This window comes from Homo sapiens, chromosome 19, assembly GCF_000001405.40.
Source record: "Homo sapiens chromosome 19, GRCh38.p14 Primary Assembly".
In the NCBI taxonomy this organism is placed as follows: Eukaryota; Metazoa; Chordata; class Mammalia; order Primates; family Hominidae; genus Homo; species Homo sapiens.
In genome coordinates this window covers 44,671,378-44,698,162 of record NC_000019.10, presented here as the reverse complement: position 1 = coordinate 44,698,162, position 26,785 = coordinate 44,671,378, and the positions used below count along the sequence as shown (strand labels likewise).

Genomic DNA, 26,785 nt, shown 5'->3' with positions numbered 1-26,785 from the left:
CTGGCCCTGGTCTCCCCGACTCCCATTGCCCCTCCACATGGCAGACAGAGGCTCTTTCCAAAACAAAAACCTGCCTCTGCCCCTCCGTGCTCAGAACCTGCTGTGGCTCCCCAGTGCCCTTGGGAGGAAGCCCAGGTTCCTCACTGTAGCCCAGGAGGCCCTGCCCGGCCTGACTCCTGCCCACCTGACCAGCTACATAGAATACCACTTGCTTCCGGGAACCCTCTGCTTCAGTTCTTCTGTTTCACTTGCACTCTACCCAGAATATCCCTGCTTCCCTCTGCTCTATTCCACTGCCTTCCCCAAACCCTCTCCTCCAGGAAGCCCTCCTGGACTTCAGGGCCTGGAATTCCCTGTCTCAGCCCTGACTGCCTTGGGTTCTCGCTGTCTGGGGCTGGGTCTTTTTCCCCCACTGGCCTGGGAGCCTCAGCTGGGCACGGCTGGGCTGTCACCACTGTGTCCCCAGCACTGCCCAGCAAATCACCTGGCACAGAGCAGAGGCTCACAGCATGTTTGTGGAACTGGACACCAGGTGTGGATGACACAGAGAGAGGAGTCTTCAGAGAGGCTCAGGTTCCTGGTGATCTGCTGTCTGCCTGCGGAGTGTGACCAGGCCGGGCTCTAGAGGCCCTCTATCGTCACATCCACCCTTCCTAGTCTGCCCCCATCCTCCACCTCCCTGGCCCCTCCTCTGGTGCTCCCGGCTGTGAGCCCAGATCCTTGGTTCAGTCAAGAGCTGCAGGCTCTTTAGCACCTGCTGTGCGCCGCCGGGCTGCGCAGAAAGCAGACGGGGTTCTTGTGGGCAGGGGCTTTTTCCTGTTTGTGCAGTGGGTGGGGGGTGTTCATGACATTGACTTCCCTGGGACTCTTCTGAGGATCAAAATAGGCACATGGAGTGTTCCGTGCCGGGCCTGCCTCAGAGCACGTACTGGGGGCACAGTGGTCGTTGTTCCTCCACCATTTGACAAATGTTTATGGAGCACCAACTATGTGCCGGGCACTGCGCTAGGCGCTGTGGGGTTACAGCCGTGAATACGGTAGACACAGAGCTGACCTATTGATTGGGGAGACAGTTAATAGACGAATACAAACATGAGCAGTGTTAGAACAGGTGGGGACAATGCTGTGGAGAAAAATAAAGCAGGGGAAGGGATGGAGGTGGTCGGGGCACTGGTTTATGCAGGGCAGCAAGGCGACATTGTCAGAGCGACATTGGAGTAGAGGTTCAATAAGGGGGGCCGGGCGCGGTGGCTCACACCTGTAATCCCAGCATTTTGGGAGGCTGAGGCGGGAGGATGGCTTGAGCCCAGGAGTTCGAGACCAGCCTGGGCAGCGTAGAGCACGTCTCTACAAAAAAATTTAAAAATGAGCCAGGAGTGGTGTTGCACGCCTGTAGTCCCAGCTATTTGGCAGGCTGAGGTAGGAGGATCGCCTGAGCCCAGGAGGTTGAGTCTGCAGTGAGCTGTGATCTCACCACTGCACTCCAGCCTGGGCGACAGAGCAAGACCTTGTTGTCTCATTAAGAAAAAAAAAAAAAAAAAAGAGCGCATGCATACACAATAATGTAAAACAGATAATCAGTTTTTTATATTGATTCTGTGCTGAAATGACATTTTGCATATGTTGTGTTAAATACATTCGTTTCACCTTTCTTCATGAGATGAGGCTGGAAAAGGTTGAATTGTGTTTGCGGCTCCACTCTTGCTCCTGTTGGGTAGTGCTGGACCAGGCAGGAGGTAGTGGCGGCTGAACCAGGGATGGGAGAAGTGGTCAGCTTGTAGATGTATTCTGCTGATATCATTCTTCTTCTTCTTCTTCTTCTTCTTCTTTTTTAAATGGAGTCTTGATCTGTCATCCAGGCTGGAGTGCAGTGGTGCGATCTTGGCTCACTGCAACCTCCACCTCCCAAGTTCAAGCGATTCTCTCACCTCAGCCTCCCGAGTAGCTGGGATTACAAGCATGCGCCACCATGCCTGGCTAATTTTAATATTTTTAGTACAGACAGGGTTTTGACATGTTGGCCAGGCTGGTCTCAAACTCCTAACCTCAAGTGATCCACCTGCCTTGGCCTCTCAAAGTGCTGGGATTACAGGTGTGAGCCACCGTGCCTGGCCCATTATTCTTTTTGACAGCTTCAGCTTTTCCTGTTATCCATCTCCCCGCTGCCCACCCCCAAGAAAACCCATTTTGCAGACAAGTAAACTGAGGCCCCGGGCCATTGCCTCATAAGATTGGAGCAGATGAGTCTTATCTTCTCTGCACAGCCATCTGGGGACACGGGTCTATGACCTTGTTTGGTCAGGGTCACCCCTTGCCCGCCCAGCCCTCTTGTCTCACCAGTCACTTAGTTTCCTTGGGAGCGGGAGGGAGGCTGGGAACTCCTTTATCTGCTCTTCAAGACCCTGCCCACCACTGACATCATCAATATATATTAGATGTAAACGTCAGACTTGGGCCTCCGTGGCAGAATCCTTGTCCTGTCCTCTCTGGGCAGGGGTGGGGAGGCCTTGAGACTGAGGGTTTGGCTGGAGCTAATGTCTTAGGCTGAAGCAGGTTTCCAAACCCCTTTCAACCTCCCCTTATCTTGGGCGAGGCAGAGGGGGCCGTCATATTTGCTCAGGGTGTGGCTTCCTGTGCCGGCCTGTCAAGGCCTGGAGTTGGCTCTGGCTGGGCCTGGAGAGGTTGTTCTTGGGGAGAAAGGACCAAATGTCCCCTTAATTCCTGACCCTAGAAAGAACACCCAGGTGGCCAGGCGTGGTGGCTCACGCCTATAATCCCAGCACTTTGGGAGGCCGAGGCGGGTGGATCACCTGAGGTCGGGAGTTCGAGACCAGCCTGACCGACATGGAGAAACCCCACCTCTACTAAAAAAAATACAAAATTAGCCCGGTGTGGTGGTGGGCACCTGTAATCCCAGACACTTAGGAGGCTGAGGCAGGAGAATCACTTAAGCCCGGAAGTCAGAGGTTGCTGTGAGCCGAGATCACACCACTGCACTCCAGCCTGGGTGACAGAGTGAGACTCTGTCTCAGAAAAAAAAAGCACCTAGGCTTCCATGCAGGAGAGGAGGCAGGTGGATCGGAGAAGCTCCAGACCTTTCCATAGGCTGTTCCCTGTGCTTGGATACCCGTCCCCACCCTCCTCACCTCATTCATCTGGGTTTTTCCAAGCCATTCAATCATTTAACAAATATTTGTCAAGCATGGACTATGTACCAGGCTGTTTGCACAGAGACATCCTTTCCTTTGTTGGGCTAAATCCTATTGGAGGGAGATGGGCAATAATAATAATAAAAAAAACCTGATATGGCATTTAATGTCAGGCAGAGATAAAAGCTATAAAAAGTAAAATAGGTCAGGTGCAGGGGCTCACGCCTGTAATCCCAGCACTTTGGGAGGCCAAGGTGGGTGGATCGCTTAGGCCAGGCGTTTGAGACCAGCCTGGGCACCACAGTGAGATCCTATCTCTACAAAAAAGTACAATAATTAGCCAGGCGTGGTGGTGGTGTGCACCAGTAATTCCAGCTACTTGGGAGGCTAAGGTGGGAGAATTGCTTGAGCCTAAGAGGTGGAGATTGCAGTGAACTGAGATTGCACCACTGCATTCCAGCCTGGGCAACAGTGTGAGATTGTGTCTCAAAATAAATAAAATTAAATAAAATAGGGCAAGTGGATAGAGAGGAGCAGGGGTTGCTGTTTTAGTTTGGGAGGTGGTGGTGGTGGCGCTTTTTCTGGCCTGAAGGAGGCGACAGAGGAGGGAGCCTGTGGGTGTGTGGGAGGAGAGTGTTTTTGGTAGAAGGTACAACAAGTGAATTCAAGGCCCTGGGGCAGGAGGGGCTTTGATGAGCATAAGGACAGCAGGGAGCCTGGTGTGACTGGAGCTGAGTGAGGGGCAGGGGAAAGTGGGAGAAGGTGGTCAGAGGGGGACTAGCCACCTAGAGCTTTTCTGGAAGGTGCTGGAGGGGAGGAAGTGAAGGGCAGAGTTAGGGGGATGGAGGCCAGCAGAGAGTGCCAGGGTTCTCTTGGGACCCTAAAGGGACCTGGTTAGGGGTTCCTTCCTCTCTCTGCACCTCATTTTTCCCTTCAGGAAAGTGGGAAGGGGTTGGACTTGGATTTAGAATTATGGTTAGGCCTGGGTTGGGCATGGTGCCTCACTCCTGTAACCCCAGCATTTTGGGAGGCTGAGGTGTGAGGATTGCTTGAGCCCAGGAGTTTCAGACCAGCCAGGGCAACATAGTGAGTCCCATCTCTACTAAAAATAAAATAAAAAGAAAGGCTGGGCACAGTGGCTCACACCTATAATCCCAGCACTTTGGGAGGCTGAGGCGGGCAGATCATCTGAGGTCGGGAGTTCGAGACCAGCCTGACCAACATGGAGAAACCCCGTCTCTACTAAAAATACAAAATTAGCTGGGCATGGTGGCGCATGCCTGTAATCCCAGCGACTGGGGAGGCTGAGGCAGGAGAATCGCTTGAACCCAGGAGGCAGAGGTTGCAGTGAGCCAAGATCCCGCCATTGCACTCCAGCCTGGGCAACAAGAGTGAAACTTCATCTCAAAAAAAAAAAAAAAAAAATTAGCCAGGTATGGTGGCACATGCCTGTAATTCCAGCTACTCTGGAGGCTGAGGCAGGAGGATCACTTGAGCCCAGGAGATGGAAGCTGCAGTAAGTTGTGATCACGCTACTGCACTCCAGCCTGGGGGACAGAGTGAGACTCTGTCTCAAAAAAAAAAACAAAAAAACAAAAGTTGTAGAATTCTTTTCTCATTCCTTTAGAATGGTTAAAACAATTTTTTTTTTCTTTTTTGAGATGGAGTCTCGCTCTGTTGCCCAGGCTGGAGTGCAGTGGCACGACCTCAGCTCACTGCAACCTCTGCCTCCCGGGTTCAAGCGATTCTCCTGCCTCAGCTTCTCGAGTGGCTGGGATTACAGGCGCATGCCACTATACTCGGGTAATTTTTATGTGTTTTCAATAGAGATGGGGTTTCACCAGGTTGCCCAGGCTGGTCTCGAACTCCTGCCCTCAAGTGATCTGCCTGCCTCTGCCTCCCAAAGTGCTGGGATTATAGGCGTGAGCCACCGCGCGAGGCCAATGGTCAAAACAATTTAAAAACCACTTTTTATTATGGGAAATTCTACGCACCCATCGAAAGCAGAGAGAAGAATGGTGTCTGCCCTCGCAACCACATACCCATCACTCAGCTCATAGGCAATCTGGTTCCCTCTCCTCACCCACGGCCCTCTCCTGTATTATTTGAAAGCAAATCCCAGCCATCAGATCATTTTATAGCTATTTCTGCCTGTATCTTTAAAAGATAAGGACTCATTTAAAAATAACACACTCACAATGCTATCATTTCACCTAAACAGTGAACATAAAAATCAACAATTCCTTAATATCTTCAAATGCTCAGTGTTCGAGTTTTCTGTTGTTCAGCAAAGCCATGATTTCTTGAATAATATCATAATTCCTTTTGGGCAGCCATCACTCAAATCTAATTTTAGAACACTTTTATCACCCTGGGAAAATTCCCTTCTGCCAGGATCGAAAAGTGGTTCAATATTTTGAAATTTCTGCCTCAGCAGTGAAGTGCTTTCTTCTGACGGAAACTTACCTGGAACCCCAGTGTGTTCAACATGTAAACAACACCTCAACCCACACCTGTCCAACCCCCCAACCGCCCCCCCGGTACAGGATCCCCATCCAGGGCTGTAGGCAGACCCGGGGGGTGGGAGAGTTGGTGGACAGTGGCTGTGTATACCTCTAGTGGTCTATCTACATCCATTGACCCTGAGACCCTAGGAACCCGCACAAAACCTTTTTGCACACAGAGTTGAATCGGGAGGGCAGGGTTTTCCCCGTGAATCATAGTGACTCTTGGTCATGGCCCAGCCCACTTCCTTCCCTGCCACCAACTTACTCATTTGTAAAGCAAGGAGCCACAGCCCTGAGAATCTAGGGTGTACCAGGGCTCGTGGGAAGAGGAGGTGGCAGAGGGAAGCAGTGTGCCCTGGTGGGCAGAACTTGGGTGGAGAGAGCCTGGGAGCCGGGGATGGGCGTGGGGGGCGTCTTAGTTCCCGTCAAGGACACTGGTCTCAAGCTAATTAGGCCAAACATAAACACGGTGCCTGAAATTCCACCATCAGCGAGACCTCCTTTGGGTTAAGCATCACTCTCTCCCCTGTGCCCTTTGTAGAGGGCAGACACCTCTGCCTGGACACACAGACCCCACTTGAATGGGCATGGATTGCATCTTGGTTCACCTTCCTTTCAGGCTGGGATGAGCAGAAGACAAATTTTCGGTGTTAGAAACTTTGGTTTTGTTCTCAGCTTGTCCACTGATACCCTGGGTGACCTCACCTTTTTTTTTTTTTTTTTGAGACAGAGTCTCGCTCTGTCGCCCAGGCTGGAGTGTGGTGGCACAATCACAGCTCACCGCAGCCTTGACCTCTTGGGGTTAAGCAGTCCTTCCACCCCAGTCTCCCAGGTAGCTGGGACCACAGGCACACACCACCACGCCTGGCTAATTTTTAAATATTTTTGGCCCAGTGCGGTAATTCACGCCAGTAATCCCAGCACTTTGAGAGGCCGAGGTGGGTGGATCACTTGAGGTCAGGAGTTCAAGACCAGCGTGGCCAACGTGGTAAAACCCCCGTCTCTACTAAAAATACAAAAATAAGCCAGAAATCGCTTGAACCCAGGAGGCAAAGGTTGCAGTGAGCCGAGATCGTGCCACCGCACTCCAGCCTGGGTGACAGGGAGAGGCTCCATCTCAAAATAAATAAATAAATAAATAAATGAAAGTAAATAAATAAATTTTTTTGTGTGTGCAGACTGGGTCTCGCTGTTACCCAGGCTCATCTTGGACTTCTGAGCTCAAGCGGTCCTTCTGCCTTTGCCTCCTAAAGTCCTGGGATTAAAAGCATAAGCCACTTTGCCTGGTCAGCTTCACTTACTTAACCTCAGTTTCCTCATCTGTAAAATGGGGATAATCACAGTACTAGGTTGGTGCAAAAGTAATTGTGGCTTTTGCCATTACTTTTTTTTTTTTTTTTGAGACGGAGTCTTGCTCTGTCCCACAGGCTGGAGGGCAGTGGCACAATATCGGCTCACTGCAACCTCTGCCTCCCTGGTTCAAGCGATTCTTCTGCCTCAGGCTCCTGAGTAGCTAGGATTACAGGCGCCTGCCACCACACCCAGCTAATTTTTTGTATTTTTAGTAGAGATGGGTTTCACCATGTTGGCCAGGCTGATCTCAAACTCCTGACCTTGTGATTTGCCCGCCTCGGTCTCCCAAAGTGCTGAGATTACAGGAGTGAGCCATTGCGCCCAGCCAATTTGCCATTACTTTTTTTTTTGAGACAGAGTTTCACTCTTGTTGCCCAGGCTGGAGTGCAATGGCGCGATCTTAGCTCACCGCAACCTCCGCCTCCTGGGTTCAAGCGATTTTCTTGCGTCAGCCTCCCAAGTAGCTGGGATTACAGGCATGCACCACCATGCCCAGCTAATTTTTAGTAGAGACAGGGTTTCTCCATCTTGGTTAGGCTGGTCTCGAACTCCTGACCTCAGGTGATCTGCCCGCCTCGGCCTCCCAAAGTGCTGGGATTACAGGAGTGAGCCACTGCGCCTGGCTTTGCCATTACTTTCAATGGTATAACTTCACTCACAGAACCGTTGTGAGGATATCAGTGAATAAATGTAAAGCCCTTAGCATAGTGCATGGCGTATAATAAGTGCTCGGTAATGTTTATTATTAATTATTATTATTACATTGAGTTCCAGGTCATCTCCCCTACTAGACCTCAAGCTCCCTGAGAGTAGGAGCTGGGCTGGTTTATCTTCACCTCTCTCATGCCAGTCAAGTTCATGTAACAGAGTTTGGTGATAGTAGTTGCTCAACAGACGTTTGTCAATGAATGAATGGGGACTGCTAGGTTGGGAAAGGGAAGGATGTGTATAATGAGCATCCACACTCCTTGGGCCTCTGCCTTGTGCTGGTCAGTGCTGGGAGCCCCTCAGTGATGGAGATAGCAATTGTGCTTATAGGGCTCATAGTTCAGCGGGACAGACCCATCCCCAGGCAGTGATGGCCCAGACTGGGCGGGGCTGGGGTAGGTGAGCTCACAGGAGAGATCTGACCCAGCTTGGAGGTCAAGGAGGGCTTCCTGGAGGAGGAGGTGTATGAGTTGAGACTTGGAGGGTGAATGGGGTGGGCAGGAAGAGTGGAGCTGTGTGCCTGGGGGTGTGCAAGGGCCTGGAAGTGAGATGGAACACAGTGTGTGGGGAAACAGAAAGAAGTTAAATCTGGGGGACTGTAGACCAGGGGTGAAGGTGAGAGGGCGGTGGGTGCTGAGAGATGAGACTGAGCGTCCCCTGGACTTTGCAGGCGTTGGAGGCAGTGGTGAGGAGCTTGGACTCTAAGGCACTGGGGAGCCATGGATGGTTTTGAGCAGGAAGGGGCTAGGTTGAGTTTGGGCTTTAGAAAGATCCCTTGGGCTGCTCTGTGGTAGGAGAATGGGAGTGGGGAGGAGTCCAGGCGGGAGGCTGGGGCAGGGAGGGGAGAGAAGCTGCCTGGCCCAGGGCTGGGCTGCAGGTACTGGGGAAGGCCAAGTTCAAGAGGCCTGGAGGGCAGGGCCTGGTGCCTGCCGTGAGAGTGGGGAGGGAGGTGTCCAGGTTTGGGGTTGGAGAGCTGGATAGACTCTCTGGGTTCCCAGAGGGGTAAAGAAAGGGGCAGAGACGGGGTGGGCGCATGGGGGGGCTCAAGGTAGCTGCAGCGCTTGTGCATGATCTGTGTGGTGCTCTGCTGCCCCCTGCTGGCTCAGGGCTGACCCTCTCTTGCAGCAAGTCTGGCAATAGTGACGACCCAATAAGCACAAACCCCAAACAGTGAAAGAAGGTGACATTTCTGGAGTGACAATGAATCAGGTGCTACAAGATGCACTTATGTTCACTGTCCCCACTCACACACCCCGACCCCGGTCTCCAGCTATCCCCTCCTGCCGACTCAGTACTGACCTCTCAAACCCGCCTGCTTTCTCTCCCCACTCCCTCGCTCCCTCTTTTCCTCCCCGCTTGCTTTCTCTCTTTCTTTTTTTTCTCTTTCTTTTCTTTCTCCACCTCTTCCCCCCCACACTCCTCCTCCCTCCCCCACCCCATTTCTCTCTTTCTTTTAAAAAATATTTTGCGAATCTGGCAGCCTCTGAACCAGAATAGGTTCAGAAAGGCTCCACCCTTTCTTCTTTTTTAAACGGTTTTGCGGTGTAATTCACATACCACACAATTCATCCATGTAAAGTATACAATGCGGGCTGAGTGCCATGGCTCACACCTGTAATCCCAGCACTTTGGGAGGCCAAGGCAGGCAGATCACTTGAGGTCAGGAGTTCGAGACCAGCCTGGACAATACAGTGAAACCCCGTCTCTGCCAAATACAAAAATTAGCCGGGCGTGGTGGTGCACGCCTGTAATCCTAGCTACTCAGGAGTCTGAGGAAGGAGGATCACTTGAGCCCAGGAGGTTGAGGCTGCAATGAGCCCAGATCGTAACCACTGCACTCCAGCCTGGGCGAGAGAGCAAGACCCCGTCTCTTAAAATGAAAACAAAACCAAAATAAAGTGTACAATTCAATAGCTTTTAGTAAATTCACAGAGTTGTGCAGCCATCGTTACAATCAATTTGAGAACATGGCTAGATGCCGTGGCTCATGCCTGTAATCCCAGCATTTTGGGAGGCTGAGGTGGGCGGATTGCCTGAGCTCAGGAGTTCGAGACCAGCCTGGCCAACATGGTGAAACCCTGTCTCTACTAAAAATACAAAAATTAGCCAGGTGTGGTGGCATACACCTGTGATGTCAGCTACTCGGGAGGCTGAGGCAGGAGAATCGCTTGAACCCGGGAGGCGGAGGTTGCAGTGAGCCGAGATCATGCCAGCCTGGGTGAAAGAGCAAGACTCCATCTCAAAAAACAAAACAAAACAAAAGAAAACAAACAAACAAAACATTGAGAACATCCTATCACCCCTAAGAGAAAGCTTGTATCCATGAGCAGTCACTTCCCCATTCCGCCCTTCCTCCCAACCCAACAACTACTACATCCACTTTCTGTCTTGATGAATTGCCTGGGCATTTCATAGCAATGGGACCCTACCATATGGAGTCCTTTGCGTCTGGCTTCTTTCACTTAGCACAGCGTTTTCAGGGTCATCCTTGCTGCAGTATGTGTCAGGGCTTCATTTCTTTTCATGGCTGAATAATGTTCCACTGGATAATACAGCCATGCGTCACTTCATGATGAGGATATGTTCTGAGAAATGAGTCTTTAGGCGATTTCATTGTTGTGTGAACATCACAGAATGTGTTTACACAAACCTAGATGGTAGAGCCCGCTACACATCTAGGGTATAGGTACAGGCTATTGCTCCTAGGTGACAAACTTGCATAGCCTGTGGCTACATTGAAAACTGTAGGCAATTGTAGCACAATGATAAATATTCGTGTACCTAAACATAGAAAAGATACAGTAAAAATACCGTGCCGGGCGCGGTGGCTCACGCTTGTAATCCCAGCACTTTGGGAGGCCGAGTTGGGCGGATCACGAGGTCAGGCGATCGAGACCATCCTGGCTAATACAGTGAAACCCCATCTCTACTAAAAATACAAAAACTTAGCCAAGCGTGGTGGTGGGCGCCTGTAGTCCCAGCTACTCCGGAGGCTGAGGAAGGAGAATGGCTTGAACCCAGGAGGTGGAGGTTGCAGTGAGCCAAGATTGCGCCATTGCACTCCAGTCTGGGCAGCAGAGTAAGACTGTCTCAAAAACAAAAACAAAACAAAACAAATAAACAAAAGAACTCATTCGTCTGTTCATGGGCATTTGGGTTATTTCTACCTTTTGGCTATTGTGAATAATGCTGCTGTGAACAGTCACACAGAAGTGTTTGTGTGGCCATGTCTTGATTTCTTTTGCAAACCTGGCCCTGTCGCAGTGTGTACAACACCCCTGCTCCCCACCCTCCCATTGCTCGAAGCAGTCACCCAAGAGTTGACCCTCTCCAGCACCTCTTAAGCATGCCCGTTCCAGTAGGTTCTTAGCACCTGCTCCATTCCTTCACAGCATCGTCATCCCTGACATTATGTTCCATGTGCTTTGTTTTTCTGTGGCCTGTCTCCCACTAGAAGGTCAGCTCTCCAAAAGCAGCCATCACTGTCTCATTCATGGCTGTCTCCCCAGAACCTAGAATAGGGCTGTCCACAACAGATGCTCAATAAATCTTCATTGAATTGATGAACAAACCAATTATTGGCACACTCTTCTCTCCAATCCCCTGTATCCAAACCAGAAACAAATTCTGTCAATGTTTTGTTCTAGAGTGTTGCTCTGTTGCCCAGGCTGGAGTGCAGTGGCATGACCTCGGCTGAATGCAACCTCTGCCTCCCGGATTCAAGCGATTCTCCTGTCTCAACCTACCACCACTCCCGGCTAATTTTTGTATTTTTAGTAGAGACTGTATTTCAGCATGTTGGCCAGGCTGGCCTTGAACTCCTACCTCAAGTAATCCGTCTGCCTTGGTCTCCCAAAGTTCTGGGATTATAGGCGTCTGCCACCATGGATTTCAGTCCTCCTGTCTGCAGAGCCAGGAGTTTGAGACCAGCCTGGCCAGCATGGTGAAACTTGTCTCTACTGAAAATACAAAAAAAAAAAAAAAAGTAGCCGGGTGAGGTGGTGTGCACCTGTAGTTCAGCTACTTGGTAGGCTGAGGCAGGAGAATTGCTTGAGCCTGGGAGGCGTAGGTTGTAGTGAGCTGAGATCGCACCACTGCACTCCAGCCTCGGCGACAGAGCAAGACTCAAAAAAGAAAAGTCTCAAAAAAGAAAAAAAAAAAAAGAGAGAGAAAAGATGGAATCCCCTCACACTCCTAGCCCTGAGCCCTGGCTACCTGGCTGGCTTGGTTGACCCTCTTAGCAAGGCGGTCAAAGGCCCAGGCATTTGGTGTCTGGAGCGGTCTGAGGATGGAGAAGTCTCCCAGAGAGTATTTGCATACTGAGTCAGCATGAGACGCAACTTCTCCTTCTGTGATTTCTTCCTCATCCTCTAGATTAGTTTCCCATTTCCTGTAAAAAATTGCCACAAATTTAGTGGCTTAAAACAACACAAGTTTGTTATCTTATAGTTCTGGAGGTCAAGAATCCAAAATGGGTCTCACTGCACTAAAGCCAAGGTTTCAGCGGGACTGTGTTGCTTTCTGGAGGTTGTAGGAAGAAAATCCATTTTCTTGCCTTTCCTCAATTCTGATTTTTTTTTTTTTTTTAAGACAGAGTCTCGCTCTGTCACCCAGGCTGGAGTGCAATGGTGCAACCTTGGCTCACTGCAACCTCCGCCTCCTGGGTTCAAGCGATTCTCCTGCCTCTGCCTCTCCAGTAGCTGGCATTACAGGCACCCGCCACCACGCCTGGCTAATTTTTCTATGTTTGGTAGAGACGGGGTTTCCCCATCTTGGCCAGGCTGATTCTTGAACTCCTGACCTCAGGTGATCCCCCTGTCTCGGCCTCCCAAAGTGCTGGGATTCCAGGCATGAGCCACCACCCTCGGTTCTGTTTTTTTTTTTTTTTTTTTTTGTAGAGACGGGGTCTTGCTATGTTGCCCAGGCTGGTCTCCAACTCCTGGCCTCAAGCGATCCTCCCACCTTGGCCTCCCAAAGTGCTGGGACTGCAGGCGTGAGCCACTGAGCTTGGCCCTCCTCCAGCTTCTAGAAGTTTCTTGCATTCCTTAGCTCAAGGCCCCCTTCCGTCTTCAACACTCACGATGGCCCATGGACTCTCTCACACTCAATCATTCTGACTCTGAAGTGCTGCTTGACTTTCAGCTCCTTCTCCCGTCTTCAAAGGGCTTTGCTTCCTTTGTTGTCACAGCCCCTCTGACTCACGCTTCCTGTGTCCTTCTCGATTATAAGGATCTGTGTGATTACATAAAGAGCCTGCCAGGGCAATCCAGGATAATCTCCCCAAAGCACGATCCTGAACTTAATCATGGCTGCATTCTTTTGTCATATAACGTAACATTCACAGGGGATTAGGATGTAGACGTCACTGGGGGGCCGTTATTCGCCTTTCACAGCACCCTGCCCCTCAAAGCCACAGTCTCGGCAGTGCCTTACCTGGCCCTGCGCCATGTGCCCCTCCGTCCATCTCCTGACGTCAACTTCCACCCACCTTTTCCTCCTTCCCCACCCTCTCCACCACACTGGCCTCCTTGCTGCTCCTTTTTTTTTTTTTTTTTTGAGGTGGAGTCTTGCTCTGTCACCCAGGCTGGAGTGCAGGGGCACGATCTTGGCCCACTGCAAACTCCGCCTCCCGGGTTCAAGTGATTTTCCTGCCTCAGCCTCCCCAGTTGCTGGGATTACAGGTGCCCACCACCATGCCCGGCTAATTTTTGTATTTTTAATAGAGAAGGGGTTTCACCATGTTGGCCAGGCTGGTCTTGAACCCCTGACCTCAAATGATCTGCTTGCCTTGGCTTCCCAAAGTGCTGGGATTATAGGTGTGAGCCACCATGCCCAGCCCCCTTGCTGCTCCTTGAATATGCCAGGCATGCTTCTGCCCCAGGGCCTTTGCACTGGCTATTCCCTCTGTCTGGAATGCTCTTCCTCCAGAGCCCCACATGGCTCCTTTCTTCCCCTCCTACAAGTCTTTGCTCATTTGTCACCTTCTCAGCGAGGACCTCTGTGCCCTAATTAAAAATCTCAGTCCCCCAATACTCTCGACCCCCCTCCATTTCCCCAATACACTTATCCCCATCTGACAGACAACGCATGTTCATTATTTATTTTATTTCCTGATTCTTTCCCCTGCCAAGTGACCCTCTGGGAAAGCGGGAGTTTTTGTTTTGCTTTCTACCAGGGCTGCAAGAGCCTAGAACTGGGTCTGGCATACAGCAAAGGCTCATTTATTGCTGAATGAATGCATAGTTTGGGGAAGGGGAGGACAAGCTGAGGCCACATTTGGGACGGGTGCTGGGGTGGGGTGGAGAAGGGAGCTGCTGCCCAGAGGGACTCAGTAAGATTCAGGGTGGGGGCCAAGACCAGCAGCTGGCAGCAGGTTCTGAGAGGGGCTGGGCCTGCCTGAACAGGGAAGGGGTCCAGCAGCCGTGGTCACCTTGCTGGGACTGGTGTGTGGGGCCACAGGCCTGTGAGGCTGGGCCTCTCTGCCACCTGAGGCCCGCATGGTGGGGTGTCTGCCTTGTCCTAAGGGGAGAAGACTCTGAGGGTCACTAGTGGAGTTGGGGTAGGGCATTGAGGACAGACAGTTGGGAGCCCAGCCAACTGCCTGGGAGGCAGGCCTGAGGCCACCATCTTGTCCCCAGATATCCAGATCTTGGGGGACTTTGGCATGGAAAGGGGCCAGAGCCTGCCTTTCACAGGCACATGGCCCAGGCCAGCTTGCTTGAAGGAACAGACCGAAGGCGGGCGTGCATTCACGGGCTGCACAAGGACCTGGGCCTGTTACAGTCTCCTGTCCCCCTGCCAGGACACCTGCCCCATGTGCTGCTGAGTCTTTGGCTGAGTCCACCTCATCGGCCCCACAGCCCCCAATGGCCTTGTCCTGCTGGTCTCAGGTGTGAGGCTCCCAGAGGAGGGCTGGGGCCTTGTCTTCTCCCTGGCTGGCCTGGCCCAGGACCCATCAGGAAGTTGGCACCAGCTGGCAGTAGGGGGCAGGGTCGGGGTTTAGCAGGTCCTGCTTGGGGGGAAGAGAGAACAGAATTATGACTGGGTGGAGGGGGAGAGTCTTGGGGAGACAGAGAGGGACAGAGGATGAGAGACAGCGTGAGATGGAGAGAAACCCGCAGAGAGAATGGAAGAGCAAGGTGGAAAGAGAGTGAGATGCAGAGACAAGAGGTCCTGGAAGAGCCAAGAAATGAGGTGGACACAGTGACAGAGACAAAGAGGCAGGAGAGACAGAGAATGGAGAGAGAGAGAGACAGAGATGCAGAGAAACGAAGACATGTAAAGAGATGCATCTTAGACAAGGCAGCATGAACAAACTGGAAACAGAAAGACAGATTAAAAAGGACACAGCAAGAGAAACTGAGAGAGAGAGAGAGAGAGAGAGAGAGAGTCCAAGAAAGGGGAAGACAGACATACAGACATATGTAGGCCACTGAGAGAGAGAGACAGAACTACAGGGACAGACAGCTGACAGGAGGGGATGGAGAGGGACTGAGCTCTGCGGTGGGGTTTCACTGGGGACCTGACTGGCTGTGTGGCCCCAGGCAATCCCCTGTCCCTCTCTGGGCCTTGTTCCTCCTGTGCAAGTTCAAGGTTTTGGATCCCTTTTGCAAAGAAGGAAATTGCAGCCTTGGGAGGAAAAGGGACTTGCCAGGGTCTCTCAGGGAGGCGGTTTGGGCTTCTTCGAGAGCAGAGACCGTGAGGCTTGGGGGGACGAGGGGAGGAAAGCCCCCAGTTTCAGTTGTCTTGACCCCTCCCCACCCCGGCTTCGGGGCTCCTGGATCCGTGGGATCCCCACCACCCCTCCCAGCTCCCAGCTCCATACCTGGTACTGGTGGTTCTCTGGCTCCGCCTGCAGGTGTGGGGGTGTGGGCAGGGGCTGCAAGGGAAGGACACGGGTGAGTGGGCGCTCGGCACCCCCCACCCTCTAAACTTTGACCTTTGGTGCTAGGACAGTCTCAGATTCCAAGTCCCCATCACCCCTCCCAGACTGTGAGGCCCCTGGGCAGAGGGGATTAGCTTCCTTACACCTCAGTGTTCTCCTCTGACAAATGGGCACTGGGCCCCAGCTTCGTGTGGTATCCAGTGGCCCGTCAACCACTCCATTAACTCTCAGTCTACCCCTGTCAACACCTCTGGTTCTAAGCTCTTAGCCTTAGTGTTTTATGTTTCTCTTATTTTTCACTTTTTTAGAAAAAGACAGGATCTTGCTCTGTCACCCAGGCCAGAGTGCAGTTGTGCAATCACCACTCGCTGCAGCCTCAAACTCCTGGGCTCAAGTGATCCTCCCTCCTCAGCCTCCCTGGTAGCTGTGACTATAGGTGCACACCACCATGCCTAGCTAAATTTTTGTAGAGATGGGGTCTAGCTATGTTCCCCAGGCTGGTCTCAAACTCCCGGCCTCAAGCAATCCTCCCACCTTGGCCTCCCAAAGTGTTGGGATTTACAGGTGTAGAGCCATCATGCCCAGCTAAGTTTCTCTTTTTATTTAATCTAAATAACTTTTTTTTTTTTTGGGATGGAGTCTCGCTCCTGTCGTGCAGGCTGGAGTGCAGTGGCATGACCTCGGCTTACTGCAACCTCCACCTCCTGGGTTCAAGCGATTCTCCTTCCTCAGCCTCCCGAGTAACTGGGATTACAGGCATGTGCCATCACACCTGGCTAATTTTTGTATTTTTAGTAGAGACGGGGTTTCACCATGTTGGCCAGGCTGGTCTCAAACTCCTGACCTCAGGTGATCCACCCACCTTGGCTTCCCAAAGTGCTAGAATTATAGGCGTGAGCCACCACGCCCAGCCTAAATGACTCATTTTTATAAACCTTTCGTTATATATATATAAAACCTCCCCATTATAAAGGTAGTGGCTGCTCAGTGCAGAAAACACAGACAAGTATAAAAGAAAAGAAGATAAAACCCACCCACCAGCCTCCACACCCCGGAGACAAATGCTGCTTCTGTTGTGCTGTTTCCTTCCAGTCTCTTTTCCTTAGGATTTTTAAAAACAGGGAACAATATATAGAGAGTTGAGATTCCCAAACCTGGTGTCAAGATGGCCCAGAGGACCACAGCCAGCTCAGAGAGGAGGCGCCTGTTAGCATTGGCTTCAGGGGAGAGGCTGGGGACGGGACTCACCCGGGCTGGGTTTATGGACCTTGTGTCACTGATGGGGGACACCAGGAGGACTGGAGAGGGCATCACTTCATAGATGTTGTTGTCACCTGAAACAGAGGCCAGGGGAGGTACCAGCTGACACATGGGCCCCACAGGCCACTCTGACTGCCTGTTGACATTCATTTATTTATTTATTCAACTAACATTTGTGCAAACGCTTCTTCTAGCCAAACCCAGTGCTGGGGACACAGTGCTGACCACGACAGTCCCAGGCCTGCCCTTCCAGGACTTACAGTCCAGTGGGGGACGCAGACCAGTCTCCAGAGTGACAACCTGGAGTGTTTAGGGCTGGAGTCGGGGGACTGGGGGCGGGTGGGAGCCCAAGACGGGGTGCCTAAGTAGCCTAGGACTCAGTGAGGGCTTCCTGGAGGAGGGGGCATCTGAGATAGTAGAGAGAAGTGAGTGAAGCTAAGGCAGGAGAGGGTGAGTGCAGAGGTCTGGTGAGAGAGCCAGCTGTGTTTCAGAAACTGTGTTTGATCTGTCTTGTGAAGGGCCTTGAGAACCATGTTAAGGAGACTAAACTTTGTCCCAAGGGCACAGGGGAGCCATGGAGGGCCTTTGAGCAGAGGAGTAACATGATCAGAATTTTAGAAAGACCTTGTCCTGGGATGGGTTGGAGGGGTCTGGAGGCTGGGAGACCAGTGAGGAGCTGGGTGTGGGGGGTCTAGGAGGCTGGTAGTGGCCTGTGGAGGTGGATGGGATCCACTTGCATGATGGGATGGGGATGCTAGCCACTGAGAAGAAGAGAAAAAGCAGGTTTGGGGTGGGTGCCGATGCGCTCAGATTATGTGGGTGAGTTCAGGGGGCCCCAGAGAGGTCTCGGGGCAGGTGCATTGGGAGGTCTCTGAGTGAGGGAGAATAAGCGGGCTTGTGGCTATAGGGGAGAAAGGAGGAGCTGAGAGGAGGGCTAGGTAGTGAGATCTGGGGCTCCCGCCTTACCAGCATCATGAGCAGGGCCCAATTCTGGCTTCTCTGTGGTCGCCATCCTGGGGACACATAGAGGGAATTGATATTAGGATAGAGAGACACTCAGGCGGGGGGAGAGAGACTTAAGAGAAGCTGGAAATCCCACCAGGTCCCTGAAAGCCACATGGTCTCTCCTTCAGAGTGAGCTAGGATGAGGCCTGAACTATCCCAGACTTTTCTTCCATAATCCTCATCCGCAATCCCTCAGTTTCCCTAGCCACCACCTTATGCCAATGAATAGTGTTCCCCAGACATCACCATTTACAGAGATCACCTAAATGATCCTGCTTCATCCACCTGTCTTATGATTTCCTTAATATTTCTCTTTACATAGATTCATTTGAATACCCTTATTTATTTTTTATTTTTTAATTTTTTGAGACAGAGTCTCGCTCTGTTGCCCAGGCTGGAGTGCAATGGCGTGATCTCAGCTCACTGCAACCTCCGCCTCCTGGGTTCAAGCGATTCTCCTGCCTCAGCCTCCCAAGTAGCTGGGATTACAGGTGTGTGCCACCATGCTCGGCTTATTTTATTTTATTTTATTTTAATTTTTTTTTTTGAGACAGAGTCTCGCTCTGTCGCCCAGGCTGGAGTGCAGTGGTGCAATCTCGGCTCACTAAAAGCTCCGCCTCCCGGGTTCATGCCATTCTCCTGCCTCAGCCTCCCGAGTAGCTGGGACTACAGGCACCTGCCACCATGCCCGGCTAATTTTTTGTATTTTTAGTAGAGACGGGGTTTCACCGTGTTAGCCAGGATGGTCTCGATTTCCTGACCTCGTGATCCGCCAGCCTCGGCCTCCCAAAGTGCTGGGATTACAGGCGTGAGGCACCATGCCTGGCCCATGCTCTGCTAATTTTGTATTATTAGTAGAGACAGGGTTTCACCATGTTCATCAGGTTGGTCTCGAACTCCTGACCTCAAGTGATCCACCTGCCTTGGCCTCCCAAAGTGCTGGGATTACAGGCATGAGCCACTGCACCCGTCCTGAATACCCTTAATTTTAAAAGTACACTGGAACCAAGTGAAATGGCTCATGACTATACTCCCAGCACATTGGGAGACCAAGGTAGGAGACTTTTTTGAGGCCAGGAGTTTGAGACCTGCCTGACTCACAAAGTGAGATCCCGTCTCTACAAAAATTACAAAAATTAGCCAGGTGTGGTGGTGCACACCTGGGGTCCCAGCTACTTGGGAGACTCGGGTGGGAGGATAGTTTGAACCAGGGAGGTCGAGGCTACGGTGAGCTACGATCGCACCACTGCACCCCAACCTTGGCAACAGAGTGAGACTTTGACTCTGAAAACAAAAGTACTCTTGACACCGCTATAGCAAGTTTGTTAGTTCACTAAATAAGTATTTACAAGCACCAACCATGTGCTGGGCGTCACTGAAGGCACTGGGGATACAGCCGAGCACAAGATGGACAGAGATCCCTGGCCCCTCGGAGCAGGCAGTCTAGGGTGGAAAGAGAGGGGAAGAAAATTGGAATAAAGCATTGACAGTAGAATATCAGAGAGCAACATCCTTCCCTATGAAGGAAAATGGAGAGGGGGGAGGGGGTGGAAGGTGTGTGTGCGGTTTTGAGTAAAAAAATAGTAATTGGGCTCAGTGGCTCATGCCTGTAATCCCAACACTTTGGGAGGCCAAGGTGGGCAGATCACCTGAGTTCAGGAGTTTGAGACCATCCTGGCCAACATGGTGAAACCCCGTCTCTACTAAAAATACAAAAATTAGCCAGGCGAGGTGGTGGGTGCCTGTAATTCCAGCTACTCAGGAAGCTGAGGCAGGAAAATCGCTTGAACCCCTGAGGCGGAAGTTGCAGTGAGCCGAGATCGCGCCACTGGATTCCAGCCTGGGCGACAAGAGCAAAACAAGAAGAAGAAGAAAAAAAAGCTTGGAAATGGTGCACTCCTGTAGTCCCAGCTACTTGGGGGGCTGAGATGGGAGGATGGCTTGAGCCCAGCAATTCAAGACAGCCAGGGCAACACAGGGAGATCTTATTTTTACAAAAAGTAAAAAATAAGCTAGGCATGGTGATGCATGCCTGTAATTCGAGCACTTTGGGAGGCTGAGGCAGAAGGACCGCTTAAGGCCAGGAGTTTGAGGTCAGCTTGGGCAACATAGCAAGACCCCATCTCTACAAAAAATAATAATACAGATAATTAGCCAGGTGTGGTAGCACAGGCCTGTGGTCCCAGTTACCCAGGAGGCTGAGGTGGGAGGATCACTTGAGCCCAGGAGTCTGAGGCTGCAGTAAACTATGATCATGCCACTGCACTCCAGCCTGGGTGATAAAGCAAGACCCTGTCTCTTTAAAAAAGAAAAAGAAATAGGCCAGGCGCAGTGGCTCATGCCTGTAATTCCAGCACTTTGGGAGGCCGAGGCTGGCGGATTGCCTGAGATCAGGAGTTTGAGACCATCCAGGGCAACATGGTGAAACCCCATCTCTACTAAAATACAAAAAATTAGCCGGGCGTTGTGGTGCACGCCTGTAGTCTCAGCTACTTGGGAGGCTGAGGCACGAGAATTGCTTGAGTCCCGGAGGTGGAGGTTGCAGTGAGCCAAGATTGCGCCACTACACTGCAGCAAGACTCTGTCTCAAAAAAAAAAAAGAAGAAGAAGAAAACAGAATCCATGGCACATAAGGAAGAGTTGAGAAAGGAGACAAAATTGCTGCTTTCATATTCTGGGAACTGGTGAGTGGCAGAAAAATTAGACATCTTATCTACAATCAGTTCAGAATCAATTTCAAGAGACAAAGTTCTGAAGACGCTGATGTCATAAGAAAGGAATTTTTCACGAATAGACTCTCCCTGGGGGAAACAGGACTGTCTCTCTCTCCTCTCTCTCCTCTCTCTCTCTCTCTCTCTCTCTCCATACAAGTAGGTAGCATCTGATAGCTGTGCCTGCTGCTGCCCACTCCCCTTCTTTGACAATAGCAACCAGTTTTGTTTTCCTTTGGAGAGCCGGTCTACACTCTCAATCCACTTGATTAAACGGAGTTGGATCTAGCCCAGTCTCTGGGGCTGCACAAATAGCCCAACTTTGGCCAATCAGAGCTTTCCCTGGCCACCAACCCCTGGCCACAGTGATTGGTTCATGAAAAGTCATGTGATCTGAGTTAAGCCAATGAGAGGTAGACTTGGGGCTCTTGTTGGAACTACCAGGAACAAGGTGGTCTCCTTGCTAGGAATGGCTAAACCAGTGGAGTATGAGCCTGGGCCCCCTGGGAGTGATCTTGTGGCAACAGGGGAGAGCCTGCCTGAGAATGAAGCCACCGAAGAAAAATACAGAGTTGACGAGTATATAAAGGAGTCATTTGAGAACATTGAGCCCCTGGATGCAGCCTACCTGAATAAGTTATGTAGTATTAAACAATTCCTTGTTTTTTGGGCAGGGAACAGTGGCTCATGCCTGTATTCTCAGCACTTTGGGAGGCCAAAGCTGGAGGATCACTTGAGCCCAGGAGTTCGAGACCAGCCTGGGCAAAACCCCATCTCTACAAAAATAAAAAAAATTAGCCAGGCTTGGTGGTGCACACCTGTAGTCTCAGCTACCTGGGAGGCTGAGGTGAAAGACTCACCTGAGTCCGGGGAAGTTGAGGCTGCAGTGAGTCGTGATTGTGCCACTGCACTCCAGCCTGGGTGACAGAGCGAGACCCTGACTAAAATTCCTTCTTTTTGGTAAGTCAGTTTAAGAATAGGTTTTCTGTCCCTTGCAATGCAGAATTCTGTTTAATACAGGATAGAAAGATTCTTTTCACCCCAGGAGTTCCAAGATTTGATGAGATTGTGTATGAGCCGGATGATGTGACTTGTGGAAGAATCCATGGGGCTTGAGAAGACAGTGGGAGCAGACAGGAGAGGGACACTTGGGGACCCTGTACCTGTGGCTCTGGCCCCTCCAGTTCCTTGTCACCAGGAGATAGGCAATGCAGCTGATGAGAAGGGCCCCGGCAGCAAGAGATCCAATGATGGTGGCCGCCAGGATCCCAGCGTTGGTGGGCAGGTGTGTACTGGGCAGCTCCTTATTCTTTTCTGAGGGGTGAGAGAAAGAAAGAGAGAGGGGGGACTGTGCGATGTCTCCTGAGGGCTCCCCCAGTCCCTCACCGACTATATCAGTGACTGCATGGAGAACTGAGGTGCAGTTTCCTATTTCCAGCCCAGAGCTTTCTCCTGCTTTTCAGATCTGAGTATCCAACCATCTGGGTGGCACATAAAATCCAACATGTCCCAGCGGGCTGGGCGTGGTGCTCACACCTGTAATCCCAGCAATTTGGGAGGCCGATGGGGGAGGATCACTTGAGCCCAGGAGTTCAAGACCAGCCTGGGCAACATAGTGAGACCCTATCTCTATTAAAAAAAAAATTTCAACATGTCCCAGATGGAACTCCTTAGCTGTCCTATATCTCGATGTTGCTGCTTCCCTAGGATTTCATACGATCCTCAGCACATCCAAAATCTGCTTGCTGACATGCTCCCCAACCCTACCCCATCAAACTGATTTTTTTTTTTCTTTTTTTGAAACAGCGTCTCACTCTGTTGCCCAGGCTGGAATGCAGTGGCATGATCACGGTTCACTGCAGCCTCCAACTCCTCGGCTTAAGCCATCCTCCCACCTCAGTCCCCCAAGTAGCTGGGACTACAGGCACACACTACCACTCCTGGCTAATTTTTAAATTTTTTGTAAAGAAGGGGTGTCACTAAATTACTTAGGCTGGTCTCAAATTCCTGGACTCAAGTAGTTCTACTGCCTTGGTCTCCCAAAGTGTTGGGATTACAGACGTGGCCACCGAGCCCAGACCCAATCTGCTTTGCTTTTTCTCACTTCGGTTGATGATACCTGAATCCCTTCAGCAGAAGGATGAGGTTCTGGGCTGTGTTTTGCAGGAGATGTAGGGGACTTGGAGGATTCTTAAACTGGACTTGCTAGAATTAAGACCACGCCTACCTGGCTCTTACCCTCTGACCTCCCAGCTTTACTCTCAAGCTGGACATCTGTTCTATCCCAACCCGTCTTGGCAGCTAAGCTCATAGACTATGGGATCCTAATGCTGCCCACTGGCGGTGTGGCCTTGGGCAAATTACTCAATCTCTCTGTGACTTGGTTCGTCTGTGAAATGAGGATAATATGAATACCTAGTTCTTAGGGTTGTTATGAAGTTTGAAATACACACACACACACACACACACACACACACACACACACACGCTGTTCTCTGAATGATCCAACAAAGAAGTAAGCTCTATGCCATTTTACAGATAAGGAAACTGAGGCATGGAACAGTAAATTGACTTGCTTGATGGCTCACAATAAGTGCAGTGCTGGGATCATACCCAGGCCACCTGAACTCCTTAATGACCATGCTGTGCAGCTTCCAAAGGGGGCACCTGTGACCTGGGAACCCCGGAAATGTGGGGAGAAGTCACTTCAGGCTCCACAAGTGAAGTAAGGACTGTTATCTCCAACCGGACTAGAGTGTCATTTTATGCAGATTTGTGTAATCAAATTAATGCATATGTTGAGTTGACTTTTGCCTATTTCATCCATTTCTGTAAAATTTTTTCTATTCACTGTCCAAAACTCATTTTAAAATTTAACTAGGGGCCAGGGGTGGTGGCTCACGCCTGTAATCCCAGCACTTTGGGAGGCCGAGGTGGGTGGATTGCCTGAGCTCAGGAGTTGGAGACCAGCCTGGGCAACATGGTGAAACCCAGTCTCTACCAATAAATAAAAAAAATTAGCTGGGTGTGATGGCATGCGCCTACAGTCCCAGCTACATGGGAAGCTGAGGTGGGAGGATCGCTTGAGCCCAGGAGGTGGAGGTTACAGTGAGCTGAGACTGGGCATGGTGGCTTATTCTTGTAATCCCAGCACTGGGAGGCCAAGGTGGAAGGATTGCTTGAGGCCAGGAGTTTGAGACCAGCCTGAGCAATATCAGTAAGACCCTGTCTCCACAATCTTGCTTTTAAATTGAAAAAAAAAAAAATAAGGGCATACAATCTATTTACAAGTGCTGTACCCTCATGATCTAATCACCTCCCACAAGCCCCACTTTTTTTTTTTTTGAGATGGAGTCTTGCTCTGTTGCCCAGGCTGGAGTGCAGTGGCATGATCTCGGTTCACTGCAACCTCTGCCTCCTGGGTTCAAGTGATTCTCCTGCCTCCCAAGTGGCTGGCATTACAGGCATCTACCACCATGCCCAGCTAATTTTTGTATTTTTAGCAGAGACGGGGTTTTACCATGTTGGCCAGGGTGATCTCGAACTCCTGACCTCAGGTGATCCACCCACTTCAGCCTTCCAAAGTGCTGGGATTACAGGTGTAAGCCACCGTGCCAGGCCCAAGCCCCACCTTTTAATACCATCATCTTGGAGGTTAGGATTTCAACATATAAATTCTAAGGGGATCTGTGTCCTGTGGAAATGGCAAGGGGCCACAGCACCTCCCTCCCTCAATCACCTTCTTCTGGTCTCTCCTCTAAGGTCACTTCTTGAGTGAGGTCTCCCTGATGACCTCCTTTCCCATGTCACATCATTCTGGTTCGTATTCTTTACTCAGCAAGTCATAACCACTGCGTGCCTCCATTTTTCAATCTGTAAAATGGAGACAATAATGGCGCTGGCCTCATGGAGTTGTTTTAAGGTAAAAATGAGTAAATATAGAGTAATGGTTCTCAACCAGGGGTGATTCTTATCCCAGGGTGGAGACATTTGGTAATATCTGAAGACATTTTTGGTTGGCATGACTAGGAAGCTGCTACTGGTACCTAGTGAGTAGAGGCCGGGGTGCTGCTGAAATCTCTGCAATGCACAAACCCTCTACTAGTAAGAACTGGCCAATACAAAACATCAGTAGTGCTGAAGCTGAGAAACTATGCTTTAGGGAAAATGTTTAAGATGGTGCCTGGCTCTTAACGATCACCCAAGAAATGCCAGCTGTCATTATTGCCCACCACCCTTTCCCTCACACTTTGCCCCGAGTGGATTCATCAGTAAATACTCGCTTTATAAACATAAAGATTGAGGGATGCATTCCTCACAACCAGGCATACAGTAAGTGCTCGATAAAAATTTGGTTAATGTTAGTGCATGTGAAAGGTAAATGAGATGGTGCATTCTCCAGTGTCAGGCACAAGGCGGGCATTTCATAGATATTTTATTAGTTAATGCATGTGAGGGTTAAAGACTATCTCTGGGGATTGGTACACAGTAGATGCTCAATATGTGTCAAGTGAATAAATGAGAGGACCAAATGAAATGGTGTTTGCACAGCACCTGGTGCATGGTAGCTGCTCAGGGCTCATTAGCTTCCTCACCTCATCCCCAGACCCTAACACTTACCAGCTACCTGGACCTCAGTCTTGGCCTTCATAGTCCATTCAGAGTTGATGGTAATGGCTACTTGGTAGGTGCCACTGTCTGTAGGCTGGGCGCGGCGCAGCAGCATGGAACCATTGGGGAAGCCCACGATGTCTCGCTGTCCCATGGCACTGCCATCCCTCTGAGGCCGTTGTATCCCAGGGATGTAGGTAAATAGCCTCGTGCCTCCGTACGTCTCCTCCCCCAGGTACCAGTTGAAGTCCTGGAAGGTGTCTGGGACACCCTGGACTGACAGGAGAAGGTCCTGGTTCTTTTGAGGCTGCTCTGGAATCTTCTGGATGTAGAGAGCTGCCTGGGAGCCTTGGAGCATCCAGAGGACCAGGATTGAGGCTGTGGGAAGTTACAGGGAAGGGCTGAGATCAGGGGTGTTGCCAGGGACCATGGCATGCTCCTCTCTAGATACAGATCTTCAGCGGGGAGCAAGGACTCTGAGTGCTGCTCATTGGAAACAATGCTGGGATTGATTAGTGATGTCTGCCCTGGGTGCAGGAGTGGGAACACAGGCATGGTTACCACAGATTTGCCATCCTGTTGATCCAGAGGTTTTTCTACCTTGAGATGCTGTGTGGCCTGCTTCTAAACACATGGACTCTCTGAATTCATTCATTCATTCATTTATTCAACCAATACTTATAGGCATATGTAATATATAAGCTATAATACCAACTATATGTAATACATCTAAACTTCCTTCAATTTCTAGACACTGGAGATATAGCAGGGAACCAAACATACATAAATTCCTGCCTTCATGGTCCTAACATTATAGAAAATTCCATAGATAAAATGGCAATGAGGCTGTGATTCTGTTGCCCCTCCCCCATCTTATTCTAATTTCATCCTCTCAGGTAATCTTTCCCTACTTCTAAGAGGAAACTTCAATCTCTGGGCTGAGTCCCCATTTCTCCCCTTGGCCTTTAGGGTCTATTTCCTCCTTACCTGAGAGCAGGAGGCTCTTTGAGAAGCAGCCCTGGGTCCCCATGGGAATCTCCATCTTGGCGTCTTGTGGAAATGCCAAGGGGCCACGAGCTGGACACTAAGGGGGCCAGAGGGGTGGGCCCTGGCTGTCTGAAGTAGGCCAGCTCAGTGGGGATCCCAGGGGTGCCTTAGAGACACCGCTGGGGCTGGCCCAGCCCCAGCATGCCCTGTCCATGGGCTCTGGAGGCTCCACCTATACTCCCTGGGATGGGAGCACAGACAGAGGTTGAACCAGTTTTTCAGGGTGACTGGGGAACTTCCCAGGACTCCTCCCCTGACCCTCTTCAACCTCTTTTTCTCACTCAGCGTGACTACAACAGCAGTCACTGTAGCAATAGTCATAACAGCCTCTGTTTGAACAATTCCCCTGGGTTTGTTCAAACACACACTGCCTCATTCAGCAGCCACCATAAATAACTGTTCCCATTGCACAGATGTGGAAACAGAGGCCCAGGAAAAGAGGCAAGTCTGCCAATAGACAGAGGTGGGATTTCACCTGTGGCTGACTCACTTGAAGGCTCTGAGGCAGGCTGGGTGCGGTGGCTCACGCCTGTAATCCCAGCATTTTGG

At 50.8% G+C, this 26,785-nt stretch overlaps 1 protein-coding gene and 1 long non-coding RNA gene across 4 annotated transcripts in view, besides 5 other annotated features; both read right to left on the bottom strand.

The window, feature by feature from the left end:
• Positions 840 to 1,445: an enhancer, noted in NCBI's record as "H3K27ac-H3K4me1 hESC enhancer chr19:45199988-45200593 (GRCh37/hg19 assembly coordinates)". NCBI's record gives its function as "activates a minimal SCP1, AML or CMV promoter by ChIP-STARR-seq in naive H9 embryonic stem cells {active_cell/tissue: H9 hESC(naive)}" and the evidence as "EXISTENCE:reporter gene assay evidence [ECO:0000049][PMID:30033119]".
• Positions 5,660 to 5,729: an enhancer, noted in NCBI's record as "active region_14765". NCBI's record gives its function as "activates an Ori minimal core promoter by ATAC-STARR-seq in GM12878 lymphoblastoid cells {active_cell/tissue: GM12878}" and the evidence as "EXISTENCE:reporter gene assay evidence [ECO:0000049][PMID:35858748]".
• Positions 7,955 to 8,454: an enhancer, noted in NCBI's record as "H3K4me1 hESC enhancer chr19:45192981-45193480 (GRCh37/hg19 assembly coordinates)". NCBI's record gives its function as "activates a minimal SCP1, AML or CMV promoter by ChIP-STARR-seq in naive H9 embryonic stem cells {active_cell/tissue: H9 hESC(naive)}" and the evidence as "EXISTENCE:reporter gene assay evidence [ECO:0000049][PMID:30033119]".
• Positions 8,455 to 8,956: an enhancer, noted in NCBI's record as "H3K4me1 hESC enhancer chr19:45192479-45192980 (GRCh37/hg19 assembly coordinates)". NCBI's record gives its function as "activates a minimal SCP1, AML or CMV promoter by ChIP-STARR-seq in naive H9 embryonic stem cells {active_cell/tissue: H9 hESC(naive)}" and the evidence as "EXISTENCE:reporter gene assay evidence [ECO:0000049][PMID:30033119]".
• On the bottom strand, positions 9,619 to 13,125 carry LOC107985306 (uncharacterized). Its single transcript, XR_007067268.1, has 3 exons — positions 11,933 to 13,125; positions 10,147 to 11,320; positions 9,619 to 9,931 (listed from the first exon to the last, which is right to left on the bottom strand). It is a non-coding gene; the product is annotated as an uncharacterized LOC107985306 (long non-coding RNA).
• Positions 12,772 to 13,066: an enhancer, noted in NCBI's record as "tiled region #3873; HepG2 Activating DNase matched - State 23:Low, and K562 Activating DNase unmatched - State 5:Enh". NCBI's record gives its function as "activates a minimal TATA promoter and a strong SV40 promoter by Sharpr-MPRA in HepG2 and K562 cells {active_cell/tissue: HepG2 | K562}" and the evidence as "EXISTENCE:reporter gene assay evidence [ECO:0000049][PMID:27701403]".
• CEACAM19 (CEA cell adhesion molecule 19) overlaps positions 13,808 to 26,785 on the bottom strand; it is an 18,496-nt gene continuing 5,518 nt past the window's right edge. Inside the window, exons 2-9 of one of the 3 annotated variants that reach the window (NM_001389722.1) lie at positions 26,177 to 26,417; positions 25,199 to 25,567; positions 21,742 to 21,892; positions 19,227 to 19,310; positions 17,829 to 17,875; positions 16,851 to 16,936; positions 15,543 to 15,596; positions 13,808 to 14,726 (exon numbers count right to left, since the gene is read on the bottom strand). In NM_001389722.1, the coding sequence (NP_001376651.1) occupies positions 14,673 to 14,726; positions 15,543 to 15,596; positions 16,851 to 16,936; positions 17,829 to 17,875; positions 19,227 to 19,310; positions 21,742 to 21,892; positions 25,199 to 25,567; positions 26,177 to 26,231 (900 nt within the window). In that variant the 5' untranslated portion in view covers positions 26,232 to 26,417 and the 3' untranslated portion in view covers positions 13,808 to 14,672. Of the gene's footprint in view, positions 14,730 to 15,542; positions 15,597 to 16,850; positions 16,937 to 17,828; positions 17,876 to 19,226; positions 19,311 to 21,741; positions 21,893 to 25,198; positions 25,568 to 26,176; positions 26,682 to 26,785 lie in introns of those variants that run through there. The other 2 variants (NM_020219.5, NM_001127893.3) reach the window with 2 other exon arrangements.